The sequence below is a fragment of the Homo sapiens genome, chromosome 1 (assembly GCF_000001405.40).
Source record: "Homo sapiens chromosome 1, GRCh38.p14 Primary Assembly".
NCBI classification, from domain to species: Eukaryota; Metazoa; Chordata; class Mammalia; order Primates; family Hominidae; genus Homo; species Homo sapiens.
Window position 1 is genome coordinate 26,801,179 of NC_000001.11, and position 15,059 is coordinate 26,816,237.

Here is a 15,059-nt window from a genome sequence, read left to right on the forward strand (position 1 = left end):
GTAAGTTTACACGAGATGGAGATCCCTTCCAGCTTGGGATACCTGAAAAGACTTCATGGACCAATGATAGTTGAGCTAGACTTTGAATGATAGGGAGGATTTGAAAGTTCAGGGTACAGAATGAATATAGAAGGCAGGAAATGGAACAGGATAGGACAGGGAGAAACCAGTGTGAATGGAGCTGAGGTCTTAATCTAGGCCTTGAAATCAGCCCCAAGCCCAGCTCTACTGTGTACTAACTGTGTAAACTTGAGCCAGATACTGACTCTCTAAGCCTCAGTTTACTCATCTGTAAAATGTAGATAATAATATCTAGCTCATAGATAAAAGAATAATAACATCTCATAGGGTGGTGGTGGGAATTAAATGTTACCATATGAAAAGTGTTGAGAACAGTGCTAACAAAGCAATAGCTGCATTTTGGACATGTTGGGTTTACGATACCAAGCAGCACATTTATGTGCCAGGAAATGTGGAACTGGAGACCAAGAGAGTGGTCAGGGAACCATGCACACAGACACGGTAATTACAGCAGCCATGCTGTTGGATGGGATTGTCAAAAAAAGAGTGTGGAGAGAGAAGAGAGAGGGGCTGTAAGAGTTTGGGTAGGTTGGCTGGGCGCGGTGGCTCACGCCTGTAATCCCAGCACTTTGAGAGGCAGAGGCAGGCGGATCACGAGGTCAGGAGATCGAGACCATCCTGGCTAACACAGTGAAACCCAGTCTCTACTAAAAATACAAAAAATTAGCCAGGTGTGGTGGCGGGCACCTGTAGTCCCAGCTACTCGGGAGGCTGAGGCAGGAGAATGACGTGAACCCAGGAGGCGGAGCTTGCAGTGAGCCGAGATTGTGCCACTGCACTCCAGCCTGGGCGACAGAGTGAGACTCTGTCTCAAAAAAAAAACAAAAAACAAAAAAGAGTTTGGGTAGGTGGCTCAACCTCTCTAAGCCTGTTTTCTCATCTACAGTGGGGGTGATAGCATCTACCACATGGGCAGTCATGAAGATAAAGCACTTAGCACAGTGCCTGTATGGCAAGAACTTCATGAATGGTAGCTATTGTATTATCATTATTATCATTAAAGGACCAGAAACAAATTGTATCATTGGCGGAAAAGAGAGTTTCAAGGCCAGGCACAGTGGCTCATGTCTGTAATCCTAGCACTTTGGGAGGCTGAGGTAGGTGGATCGCTTGAGCCCAGGAGTTTGAGACTAGCCTAGGCAACATGGTGAAACCCCATCTCTACAAAAAATACAAAAATTAGCCAGGTATCCTGGTGGGCGTCTGTAGTCTCAGCTACTCGGGAGACTGAGGTGGGAGGGTCACCTGATCCCAGGAGGTCAAGGCTGCAGTGAGCAGTGATCACACCACTGCACTCCAATGTGGGTGACAGTGAGACCCTGTCTCAAGAAAAAAGTTTCAAGAAGAAAGAAATGGTTAGCAGGGTCATATACTGTTAAGGAAAGGATGAGAAAAACTATTGAATTTAGGGATTAGGGATATTATCCAAGGTAGGCTAACGGCGATACCAAACAACCGCCAAAACTCAGTGGCTTAATAATAAAAGTTCCTTTCTTTTTTACTTCATAGTCTAGTGCAGGTTTAGGAAGGGAGGTCTGTTCCGCCCAATTATTGGGGACCCAGTCTTGTCCATTTTGTGACTGTCCTGCTCTAGCTCCTTAGAGTCCTCTACTCCCGGAAAAGTGTTTTTTTTTTTTTTTTTAAATTTAATTTTTTTTTTATTGATCATTCTTGGGTGTTTCTCACAGAGGGGGATTTGGCAGGGTCATAGGACACTAGTGGAGGGAAGGTCAGCAGACAAACAAGTGAACAAAGGTCTCTGGTTTTCCTAGGCAGAGTGTTTGTGTCCCTGGGTACTTGAGATTAGGGAGTGGTGATGACTCTTAACGAGCATGCTGCCTTCAAGCATCTGTTTAACAAAGCACATCTTGCACCGCCCTTAATCCATTTAACCCTGAGTGGACACAGCACATGTTTCAGAGAGCACAGGGTTGGGGGTAAGGTCATAGATCAACAGGATCCCAAGGCAGAAGAATTTTTCTTAGTACAGAACAAAATGAAAAGTCTCCCATGACTACTTCTTTCTACACAGACACGGCAACCATCCGATTTCTCAATCTTTTCCCCACCTTGCCCCCTTTTCTATTCCAGAAAACCGCCATCGTCATCATGGCCCATTCTCAATGAGCTGTTGGGTACACCTCCCAGACGGGGTGGTGGCCGGGCAGAGGGGCTCCTCACTTCCCAGTAGGGGCGGCCGGGCAGAGGCGCCCCTCAGCTCCCGGACTGGGTGGCTGGCCAGGCGGGGGGCTGACCCCCCCACCTCCCTCCCAGACGGGGCGGCTGGCCGGGAGGGGGCGCTGACCCCCCCCTCCACCTCCCTCCCGGACGGAGCGGCTGGCCCGGCGGGGGGCTGAGCCCCCCACCTCCCTCCTGGATGGGGCAGCTGGCCAGGCAGAGGGGCTCCTCACTTCCCAGTAGGGGCGGCCAGGCAGAGGCGCCCCTCACCTCCCGGACGGGGCGGCTGGCCGGGCGGGGGGCTGAGCCCCCCACCTCCCTCCCGGACGGGGCGGCTGGCCGGGCGGGGGGCTGACCCCCCCACCTCCCTCCCGGACGGGGCGGCTGGCCGGGCGGGGGGCTGACCCCCCCACCTCCCTCCCGGACGGGGCGGCTGGCTGGGCAGAGGGGCTCCTGGCTGGGCAGAGGGGCTCCTCACTTCCCAGTAGGGGCGGCCGGGCAGAGGCGCCCCTCACCTCCCGGACGGGGCGGCTGGCCGGGCGGGGGGCTGAGCCCCCCACCTCCCTCCCGGACGGGGCGGCTGGCCGGGCGGGGGGCTGACCCCCACCTCCCTCCCCGCCGGGGTGGCTGCCGGGCGGAGACGGTCCTCACTTCCCAGACGGGGTGGCAACCAGGCGGAGGGGCTCCTCACTTCTCAGACGGGGCGGTTGCCAGGCGGAGGGTCTCCTCACTTCTCAGATGGGGGGCGCCGGGCAGAGACGCTCCTCACCTCCCAGACGGGGCGGCGGGGCAGAGGCGCTCCCCACATCTCAGACGATGGGCTGCCGGGCAGAGACGCTCCTCACTTCCTAGATGGGATGGCGGCCGGGACGAGGCGCTCCTCACTTCCCAGGTGGGATGGCGGCCGGGCAGAGAAGCTCCTCACTTTCCAGACTGGGCAGCCAGGCAGAGGGGCTCCTCACGTCCCAGACGATGGGCAGCCAGGCAGAGACGCTCCTCACTTCCCAGACGGGGTGGCGGCCGGGCAGAGGCTGCAATCTCCGCACTTTGGGAGGCCAAGGCAGGCGGCTGGGAGGTGGAGGCCGTAGCGAGCCGAGATCACGCCACTGCACTCCAGCCTGGGCACCATTGAGCACTGAGTGAATGAGACTCCGTCTGCAATCCCGGCACCTCGGGAGGCCGAGGCTGGCGGATCACTCGCGGCTAGGAGCTGGAGACCAGTCCGGCCAACACAGCGAAACCCCGTCCCCACCAAAAAAACACGAAAACCAGTCAGGCGTGGCGGCGCGCGCCTGCAATCGCAGGCCCTCGGCAGGCTGAGGCAGGAGAATCAGGCAGGGAGGCTGCAGCGAGCCGAGATGGCAGCAGTACAGTCCAGCTTTGGCCCGGCATGAGAGGGAGACCGTCGAAAGGAGAGGGAGAGGGAGACGGGAGAGGGAGAGGGAGACGGGAGAGGGAGAGGGAGACGGGAGAGGGAGAGGGAGAGGGAGACGGGAGGTGTTTTTTTTTTTTTTTTGAGACGGAGTCTCGCTCTGTCACCCAGGCTGGAGTGCGGTGGCGCGATCTCTGCTCACTGCAAGCTCTACCTCCTGAGTTCACGCCATTCTCCTGCCTCAGCTCCAGAGTAGCTGGGACTACAGGCGCCTGCCACCACGCCCGGCTAATTTTTTGTATTTTTAGTAGAGACGGGGTTTCACTGTATTAGCCAGGGTGGTCTCGAACTCCTGACCTCGTGATCCACCCGGCTTGGCCTCCCAAAGTGCTGGGATTACAGGCGTGTGAGCCATCGTGCCCGGCTACTCCCGGAAAAGTTTTAAGGAGCCAGCCTGGAAGAGTCAGCACATCATTCCATTCTGCTAGCTAGAACTTAGTCACATGGCCATGTCTAACCGCAAAGGAGTGGGGAAGTAGGTTCCTAGATAAAATACAGCATGCCCAGTTACATTTGAATTTCAGGTAAACAAGTTATTTTTCAGTATAATTACATTCCAAATATTGCTTGGGACGTACTTCTAAGAATTTCTTCCTTGCTTAATTGAAATTCAAATGTAACCAGCATCCTGTATTTTTATTTGCTATATCTGGTAGCCCTACTGGGAAGTGAAGTCTGGCTGTGAGTTCAAGAAGAGAACACAGATAATTGTATGTTACAGTCTGCCTTTCTGAGCCAAATACCTGTTTCTCTTCACAGAATACACTTACCCTTGCCCAGGGGAAATAGCCCCAAATCCCATCTAGTCACTGTATTCAGCTCAGAGTCTCTCAGTCAGCTTCAGTGTGGTTCCTTATGGTGATTTGTGAACTGAAAAAGCAAGGTATCTGCACTTCACAAACATACCCAGTATACATTGGTAGAGCAAGAAAAGGATAGCCTCAATACAAACTCCCAGTCAGAAAAGGAAAGCATGGAAGAAGTGCCACAGTCACTGGTCCAAAACAGTTTTGAATTCCCACTGCTCAGGTAGGTCAAAGTCCCCGTCCCTGGACTGCAGGGAGTTCCTGGATTAGAACTTGATTTTTTTTTTTTTTTTTTTTTTTTTTTTTTTTTTTTTTTAGAGACAGGGTCCACTCTGTTGCCCAGGCTGGAAGGCAGCCCAGGCTGGAAGGCAGTGGTGTGACCATAGCTCACTGTAATCTCAAACTTCTGAGCTCAAGGGATTCTCCCATCTCAGCCCCTCCCAAGTAGCTGGGACTACAGGCATGTTCCACCACGCCTGGCTAATTTTTGCCATATTTTATAGAGATAAGGTCTCGCTATGTTGCCCAGGCTGGTCTTGAACTCCTGGCCTCAAGTAATCCTTTTGCCTTGGTCTCTCAAAGTGCTGGGATTATGTGCATGAGCCACCACACCCAGCCTAGACCTTGTTTTTGTTATGGGATGGACTTTTTTGTTGTTGTTGTTGTTTTGTTTTGTTTTGTTTTTGAGACTCGCTTTGTTGCCCAGGCTGGAGTGCAGTGGCGCGATCTTGGCTCACCACAACCTCCACCTCCTGGGTTCAAGTGATTCTCCTGCCTCAGCCTCCCGAGTAGCTGGGACTACTGGCATGCGCCACCATGCCCAGCTAATTTTTATATTCTTAATAGAGGCGGGGTTTCACTATGTTGGCCAGGCTGGTCTCGAACTCCTGACCTCGTGATCCCCCTGCCTTGGCCTCACAAAGTGCTGGGATTACAGGCGTGAGCTACTGTACCCGGCCTGGGATGGACTCTTTTGTCCATTGTACTCCATGGCTCCTGGATGTGACTTTCTAGGAAGTTCTTCCTTGCCTTTTTAAAATTTTATTTTGAAGAGACAGGGTCTCACTCTGTTGTCCAGGCTGGAGTGCAGTGGCAGGATCATAGCTCACTGCAGCCTGAAAGTCCTAGACTCACGCAATCTGCCTACCTTATCCTCCCAAGTAGCCCCAACTACTACAGGCACACAACTACTACAGGCCTGACTTCTTCCTTGTTGATTATTCTTCATGGCCACATCTGAGATTGGCTTTGGGGATTATGACCTTCTCCTTTGCGAATTATGACCATTCTCCTTGGAGAATGCTCAGGTGTCACCAAGCCACTTCCTACTGGTGAAAACAAGGGAGCCTAAAGTTATTTTAAGTCTCAACTAGTCAGACTGTGTATGTATGTGCACTAAAATGTATCTAACAAAATTACCATCTTAACTTTTTAAGTGTTAGTTCTGTAGCATTAAGTACATTCACATTGTTGTGCAACTAACACCACTACCTATCTCCATAACTTTTTTTTTTTTTGAGACGGAGTCCTGCTCTGTCGCCCAGGCTGCAGTGGAGTAACACGATCTTGGCTCACTGCAACCTCCGCTTCCTGGGTTCAAGCGATTCTCCTGCCTCTGCTTCCCGAGTAGCTGGGACTACAGGTGCCCACCACCACACTCAGCTAATTTTTTGTATTTTTAGTAGAGACAGGGTTTTGCCACGCTGGCCAGGCTGGTCTTGAACTCCTGACCTCAAGTGATCCACCCACCTTGGCCTCACAAAGTGCTGGGATTACAGACATCAGCCACCATGCCCAGCCCAGAACTTTTTTATCTTCCCAAACTGAAACTGTACCCATTAAACAATAACTTCACATTCCCCCTGCTCTCCAACCCCTGGCAACTGCCATTCTATTTTCTGTCTCTATAAACTTGACTACTCTTGGTACCTCATATAAGTGGCATCATAAAATATTTGTCCTTTTGTGTCTGGCTTATTTCAATTAGCATAAGGTCTTCAGGGTTCATCCATATTGTAGCTTGCATCAGAATTTCTTTCTTTTTTTTTTTTTTTTTTTTTGAGACGGAGTCTCGCTCTGTCGCCCAGACTGGAGTGCACTGGCGCGATCTCGGCTCACTGCAAGCTCCACCTCCCGGGTTCATGTCATTCTCCTGCCTCACCCTCCTGAGTAGCTGGGACTACAGGTGCCTGCCACCACGCCTGGCTAATTTTTTTTTTTTTTTTGTATTTTTAGTAGAGATGGGGTTTCACTGTGTTAGCCAGGATGGTCTCGATCTCCTGACCTCGTGATCCGCCCACCTCAGCCTGCCAAAGTGCTGGGATTATAGGTGTGAGCCACCGAGCCCGGCCACCAGAATTTCTTTTTAAGGCTGCATATATTCCATTGTAGTACATCTTGTTTATCCATTCATCTGTCAATGGTCATTTGGATAGCTTCTGCCTTGTGGCTATAATGAATAGTGCTGTTATGAATATTTTATATAACAGATATAAAAATATCTGTTCAAATCTCTGCTTTCAGTTCTTTTGTGTATACAGCCAGAAGTAGAATTGCTGGATTATATGGTAGTTCCATGTTTGCTTTTTTGAAGAATGGCCATACTGTTTTTCTACAGCAGTTGCGCATTTTACATTCCCACCAGCAATGCAAAAGGGTCCCAATTTCTGTATATCCTCACCAACATTTGTTATTTTCTGTTTTTTAATTCTAGCCACCTTGGTGTGTGTAAAGTGGTATTTTGATTTAAATTTTCCTGATGATTAGTGGTATTGAGTATCATTTCATGTGCTTATTGGCTACTTGTATGTCTTTGGAGAAATATCTATTCCTAACCTTACCTGTTTTGGGGTTTTGTTTTTTTTTATTGTTGTTGAGTTGTTGGAGTTCTTTATATATTTTAGGTATTAATCCCTTATCTGATACATGATTTGCAAAATTTTCTCCTATTCTGTGAGTTGCCTTTTCAAAATCATTGCCAAATCTGATGTCATGCAGTTTTCTCCTTATGTTTTCTTCTAAGAGTTTTATAGTTTTTGCTTTTTTTTTTTTTTGTTTTTGAGACAGGGTCTCATGCTGTCACCCAGGTTGGAGTGCAGTGGTGTGATCACAGCTCACTGCAGCCTCAACCTCCCAGGCTCAAGCAATCCTTCTACTTCAGCCCCCTAATTAGCTGGAACTACAGGCACATGCCACCACTGCACCTGGCCATGCAGGCCACACTCTTAACCTGGTATTTACCTTAGAAAGATTGCATCCTTAGGCCAGGCACAGTGGCTCATGCCTGTAATCCCAGCATTTTGGGAGGTCAATGCAGGCTGATCACTTGAGTCCAGGAATTTGAGACCAGCCTGGGCCACATGGCAAAACCCCATTTCTACTAAAAACACAAAAATTAGCTGGGTGTGATGGCACGTGCCTGTAATCCCAGTTATTTGGGAGGCTGAGGCATGAAAATCACTTGAACCCAGGAGGCAGAGGTTGCAGTGAACTGAGATTGCGCCACTGCACTCCAGCCTGGGCAACAGAGCCAGACAGTGGTTTTTAAAAAAAAAAAAAAAAGATTGCATATTTAAATTCATGTTGTTCAAGACCTTTTCTATTTATTTATTTATTTTTTTTTTTTGAGCCAGGGTCTCACTCTGTTGCCCAGGCTGGAGTGCAGTGGTACAGTCACAGCTCACTGCAGCCTCCACCTCCCTGGGCTCAGGTGATCTTCTTGCCTCAGCCTCCCAAGTAGCTAGGAGTATAGGTATGCTCCAACATGCCTGGCTAATTTTTATTTTTGATTTTTTTTGTAGAGACAGGACTTCTCTATGTTGCCCAGGCTGGTCTTGAACTCCTGGGCTCAAGTGATCTTCTGCCTCGGCTTTCTAAAGTGCTGGGATTACAGGCAGGAGCCACCGCGCCCTGCCCTAAAACCTTTTCTATCTTACTTTGTACTATTTGTTGTCCAGAAGCAGTCAGCTTTTCCAACCCTGAAAGACCTATGATCTTTGTTCTTTCTCTATTTTCTATTTCTGTTGAAATCCAGCATATTCTCACCTAAACTCACCTCTTTCTTGGAATACTTTATAAAGACAACAGTGCTAGGGCCGGGCGCGGTGGCTCACGCCTGTAATCCCAGCACTTTAGGAGGCCGAGGCGGGCGGATCACAAGATCAGGAGTTCGAGAACAACCTGGCCAATATGGTGAAACCCCGTCTGTACTAAAAATACAAAAATTAGCTGGGCGTGGTGGCGGACGCCTGTAGTCCCAGCCACTCGGGAGGCTGAGGCAGGAGAATTGCTTGAGCCCAGGAGGCGGAGGTTGAAGTGAGCCGAGATCGGGCCGCTGCATTCCAGCCTGGGAGACAGAGCCAGACTCTGTCTCAAAAAAAAAAAAAAAAAAAAAAAAAAAAAAAAAAAAAACAGTGCTAGTTATTAAGTTACTGTCTCTCAGCTCCAAACCCACCCACATATTCGTTACAATGAGATACTGGAGCTGGGGCTCTGAAAATCACGTTTTTGCTTGGGTAGGCTCTGTGTTTGGCTTTCCCAATAAGGGCCACCAGAGGGAGACAGTGAAGCCAGAGGAAGAAGAAGGGACACTTTTTTTTTTGAGATGGAGTTTCCCTCCCGTCACCCAGGCTGGAATGCAGTGGCACAATCTCGGCTCACTGCAACCCTCTGCCTCCTGGATTCAAGTGATTCTCCTGCCTCAGCCTCCCGAGTAGATGGGACTACAGGCGCCCGCCACCACGCCCGGTTAATTTTTGTATTTTTGGTAGAGACAGGGTTTCGCCATGTTGGCCAGGCTGGTCTCGAACTTCTGATCTCAGGTGATCTGCCTGCCTCGGCCTCCCAAAGTGCTGGGACTACAGGTGTGAGCCACCGCGCCCAGCTGGGACTCTTCTTTTTGCTTCCTATTCCTGTAAGGGTCACTCTGGCAACACTCCTTTACCCAGACAGTAGCAGGTCCTTCTTGTAGCAGCTGCTGAATCCACTTTGTAGTTTTTCCCAACAATTGCCAAACCAGTTCCATTGTGTTCCACTCAGAGACACCAGCACCAGCTGGGTAGTATCCTGTCTTCAGAGGTCTGAGTTCTTCAAGCTCAAAGACTAGATGGAGCATCAGACTTAGAGGTCCGAGTTTCAGCTCTGCAGAGGCCCTCCTCTAAGGTTTTAACTTTGAGTAATTCCAAACTCTTGCCTTTGTACTCTTAGCCCGAGGAGTTACAGATGCTTCTTGCTGTCTATTGCTGCCTCCATGATATCTTAGTTTTCTTTTTACCCTTAGAGTTATCTAGTTAACAATTTATTCCTAGTTAACTATTCTAACCATTCTTTATATTAAATTCTCTCTGTCAGTGACTGATGTGGTTTCTCTCTCATTGCCTGGACCCTGACTGATACAGAAATTGGTACTAGGAGTGGCCCCAGGAAAAAGACCCCAAAAGATGGGATTAGGAAATCAGCTTGGCTGTGTCATTGGGTTTGAATGTGCTGAGCTCCTTGCCAATGAGAATGTGATCCATAGCATGCTGTGGCCTCATAATTAATGAAATCATCGCCTGTGGTTATTTGTGATGAAGTGCCAACCAAAGGAAGTGTCTCGGGGGCCCAAATGGTGGTTGCACTAACTGTTATGGCAGTGATAATGACTATAGGGACTATGATATGGGACCGATTCTTCCAGTTGCATCATGGGCCTTGCAGGAAAAAAAAAAAAAATTACCAGCTCAGGTCTTTAAACTCTCAGCTGAACTCGTGGTCAGAGAACTGTAGGGCTTCTCTAATAGCCATAAAATAATCTCTTATTTCCTGTAGCCACCAGACTGATTTGCTACAAATAAAACATGAAAATTGTGCATATTGCAGAATTCCATCAGCTGAATTCAGTTTAACTAAGTCTTTCCTGTGATTCAGGAGTAGGACCCTGAAACTTGGAATAAGGACATCTGATTTGACTCAGACAAATGTGAAAATCTTAGATTTATCCTTCTCTTTGAGCTTCTTTTGCTAGTAGAAGCATCTTGTTGACTTGTGTCTCAGGAAACCTGGCTTCCCTTGCTTGAAAAATCTTGTAATAACTTCTGGGGCAGGATATATACCTTGCAAAGATATGCCATTCTCCCCAAGATCCACCCAAGCCACCCCTTGTTGCCACCAGACCCACAACTAGGATGCAATCTCAGCATTCTCCAAGGAGGCAAGTAGAAAATCTGACTCAGAAGGAAATAACTTACACATCACAATCATTTCAAGATTTTGCTGACATATAGACAGAAATCTGGGGAATACACATGGGAGTGGATTCTTAGAATGTTAGACCTATAAGGATGAAATATAACACAGGACTGAGCCAAATGTATTGATGTGTATGCACTTGTCAGAGATTCTGAATTTAAAGTGTTACTTCACATAGCTGCAAGTGGCTCTAATGGCTTACTTGGTTGGTTGACTGAAAATCTGACTTAATGTTATTTCTGTTATTTTATTTTATTTATGTATTTATTTTTGAGATAGGGTCTTGCTTTGATGCCCGGGCTGGTACAATTTCAGCTCACTGCAGCCTCGACTTCCCAGGCTCAAGCAAGCCTCCTGCCTCAGCCTTCTGAGTAGTTGAGACTACAGGCGTGTGCCACCACGCCCAGCTAATTTTTTTTTTTTTTTTTTTGGATGTAGTTTCACTCTTGTCGCCCAGGCTGGAGTGCAATGGCGCAATCTCAGCTCACTGCAACCTCCACCTCCCAGGTTTAAGCAATTCTCCTGCCTCAGACTCCCAAGTAGCTAGGGTTACAGGCATGCACCGTCACACCTGGCTAATTTTTGTATTATTAGTAGAGACGGGGTTTCACCATGTTGGCCAGGCTGGTCTCAAACTCCTGACCTCTGGTGATCCACCCGCCTTTGCCTCTCAAAGTGCTGGATTACAGGCGTGAGCCACCGCACCCAGCCACGCCCAGCTAATTTTTGTCTTTTCTGTAGAGACGGGATTTTGCCATGTTGCCTGGGCTGGTCTCAAACTCCTGGGCTCAGGCGATCCACCTGCCTCAGCCTCTCAAAGTTCTGGGATTACAAATGTGAGCCACTGTGCCCAGCTAGTACCTATGTTTAATGAGGCTAAGATGGGGAGAATTCACTGGAGAGGACAAAATTCAAAGGACCAGAGAGAAAAGAATGTTGTAATAAATTTATCTATGTGAACTTTGTGTCCTCTCTGTCTCCCAAGAGGGCCCAGAGGACACTCTGTTCACCCCAGCATTGAGAAATGTATTGGTGAGGGGAGCATCTGCATTCTCAGAAAGCTCTGTGGGGACTCTCCTCTGTGATTCAAGAATGATAGTTGGAAATTCTGCCATTGAGATGGGCTCCCTAGTTTCAGTGGAGACGAGAGGATCTCAGAGTATCAGAGGCCAAGTAGTAGTGCTTAACCGACAAAGACAAGGTAGATGCATTTGCCATCAAGAGCAGTAGAGTCTTTGTGAGAATCTAGTGGCTAGAAATAAGATTTGAATCACCAACAATGGGGAAGCATGGCCTCTTATCCAGTTTTTAGACCTAAGTCAGTTAACAGACCTAGAGCCCCTTGATTGAAAGGGAGGCCAAGTCCCCTTAAGAAAGGACCCAGCAACACTGCCGAAATATATATGGTAAATTTTCCCTCAAATTTTCTTCATAACATCTATAACCCTTTTCTAGAGCAACTGTGCGGTGGGGAAAAGGAAACATCCAGACCTTTAGGGGATTACTAAATATTGGCTCTGAACTGATGCTAATTCCTGGGGACCCAAAATGCCACTGTGGCCTACCAGTTAAAGTAGGGGCTCTTGGTGGCCTCTTTGGACATATCTTGGGGTTATCTCCCAAGTTTCTGAATTTATAAGTGGAATTGACATATTTAACAACTAACATGGGTTCAGTTGGCTCTCTGACCCATAGAGTAAGGGCCCTTATGGTGGGAAAGGCCAAGTAGATGCCTCTGGGCCTTCCCCCTCTCTGTGAAGACAGCAAACTAGAAGTAAACTGCATACCTGGGTGTTGTGAATTGAACTGTGACCACCCTCCACACCCCCTACAAATCCATATGTTGAAGCCCTAAGCCTCCAATGTGACTGTATCTAGAGATAGGGCCTACCCTAATCCGATAGGACTTGGGTCTTTCTAAAAAGAGAAAGAGGCCGGGCGCGGTGCCTCACCCCTGTAATCACAGCCCTTTGAGAGGCCGAGGTGGGTGGATCACTTGAGGTCAGGAGTTCAAGACCAGCCTGACCAACATGGTGAAATCCCGTCTCTACTAAAAAAATATAAAATTAAGGCCGGGCGCGGTGGCTCACACCTGTAATCCCAGCACTTTGGGAGGCCAAGGCGGGCAGATCATGAGGTCAGCAGATCGAGACCATCCTGGCTAACAGGGTGAAACCCCATCTCTATTAAAAATACAAAAAAATAGCCGGGCATGGTGGCATGCGCCTGTAGTCCCAACTACTCGGGAGGCTGAGGCAGGAGAATCGCTTGAACCCAGGAGGCAGAGGTTGCAGTGAACCAAGATCGCGCCACTGCACTCCAGCCTGGGCAACAGAGCAAGTCTCCGTCTCAAAAAAAAAAAATTATATATATATAATATATATATATAAATAGCCGGGCATGGTGGCACATGCGTGTAATCCCAGCTACTTGGGAGGCTGAGGCAGGAGAATCACTTGAACCCAGGAGGCAAAGGTTGCAGTGAGCTGAGATTGCATCATTGCACTCCAGCTTGGGCAACAAGAGCGAAACTCTGTCTCAAAAAAAAAAAAAAGAAAGAAAGAAAGAAAAACAAGAAGAGGAAGAAACACTTAGAGTATTTGTGCACAGAAAAAAGGCCATGTGAAAATAGAGTAAGAAGGCTGTCATCTGCAAGCCATAGAGAGGTCTCACTGTAAACCAACCCTGCTGGCACCTTGATCTTGGACTTCCAGCCTCTAGAACTGTGACAAGATAAATTTCTGTTCTTCACATCACCCAGCCTGTGGCATTCTGTTCTGGCAGTCCTAGCTGACTAATACGTTGGAGGAGTTGCAGATATTAGTGTCACCATCAAAGACTTGAAAGATGCTAAGGTGATGCATTCTGTCATTTTCCTATTTAACACACATGTTTGGCCAATAAATAAGGCAACTGGATCTTGGAGAATGAAAGTAGTCCCGGGTACTCAGGAGGCTGAGGCAGGAGGACTGCTTGAGTTCAGGAGTTCTGAGCTATACTGCACTATTCTGATAGGGTGTCTGCACTAAGTTTGGCATCAATATGGTGATCTCCTGGGAGCGAGGGGCCGCCAGTTTGCCTAAGGAGGGGTGAATCAGCCCAAGTCAGAAATGGAGCAGGTCAAAACTCCTGTGATGATCAATACTGAGATAGCACCTGTAAATAGCCACTGCATTTGAGCCTGGGCAACATAGTAAGACCCTGGTGCTTGTCATAAAAAAAAAAGTGGCCAGGCACAGTGACTCACACCTGTAATCCAGCACTTTGGGAGGCTGAGGCAGGAGGATCACTTTAGCCCAGGAGTTCAAGACCACCCTGGGCAACATAGGGAGATCCTGTCTCTACAAAAAATTTAAAAACTAGTCAGGCATGGTGGTACACACGTGTGGTCCCAGCTACTTTGGAGGCTAAGGTGGGAAGATTGTTTGAGCCCAGGAGGTCGAGGCTACATTGATCCATGTTCGCACCACTGCACTCCAGCCTGGGCAACAGAGTAAGACCCTGTCTCCAAAAAAAAAAGTATAATAAATTTTATCAAATAATAACTCCAATTACAGCTGCTGTTCCAGTTGTAGCAGTGCACCTGGCATTTGGTGTTCAGCTGTTGACCTGGCACATGATTTTTTTCCTCCATGTAGTTTGTAAGAAATACCAGGAGCCACCGGGCATGGTGGCTCATGCCTGTAATCCCAACACTTTGGAGGCCAAGGCGGGCGGATCACCTGAGGTCAGGAGTTCGAGACCAGCCTGACCAACATGGAGAAACCCCGTCTCTACTAAAAATACAAAATTAGCCAGGAGAGGTGGCTCAAGCCTGTAATCCCAGCTACGCAGGAGGCTGAGGCAGGAGCCTGGGAGGCGGAGGTTGCAGTGAGCCAAGATTGCGCCATTATACTCCAGCCTGGGCGACAAGAGTGAAACTCCATCTCAAAAAAAAAAAAAAAATGAAAGAAGGCCAGGCGCGGTGGCTCACACCTGTAATCCCAGCACTTTGGGAGGCTGAGGCGGGTGAATCACAAGGTCAGGAGTTCGAGACCAGTCTGGTCAACATGGTGAAACGCTGTCTCTGCTAAAAATACAAAAAAATTAGCTGGGCGTGGTGGCAGGTGCCTGTAATCCTAGCTACTCAGGAGGCTGAGGCAGGAGAATCGCTTGAACCTGGGAGGTGGAGGTTGCAGTGAGCCAAGATCGCGCCACTGCACTCCAGCCTGGGTGACAGTGCGGCGAGACTCCATCTCAAAAAAAGGAAGAAAGAAAGAGAGAGAGAGCGAGAGAGAGAGAGGGAAGGAAGGAAGGAAAGAAAGGAAGGAAGAAAGAGAAAGAGGGAGGGAGGG

The 15,059-nt window shown here is 48.6% G+C and overlaps 1 pseudogene, besides 1 other annotated feature; it reads left to right on the forward strand.

The window, feature by feature from the left end:
- Positions 2,939-3,654: an enhancer, noted in NCBI's record as "H3K27ac-H3K4me1 hESC enhancer chr1:27130608-27131323 (GRCh37/hg19 assembly coordinates)". NCBI's record gives its function as "activates a minimal SCP1, AML or CMV promoter by ChIP-STARR-seq in primed H9 embryonic stem cells {active_cell/tissue: H9 hESC(primed)}" and the evidence as "EXISTENCE:reporter gene assay evidence [ECO:0000049][PMID:30033119]".
- RN7SL165P (RNA, 7SL, cytoplasmic 165, pseudogene) lies at positions 13,644-13,934 on the forward strand (annotated as a pseudogene).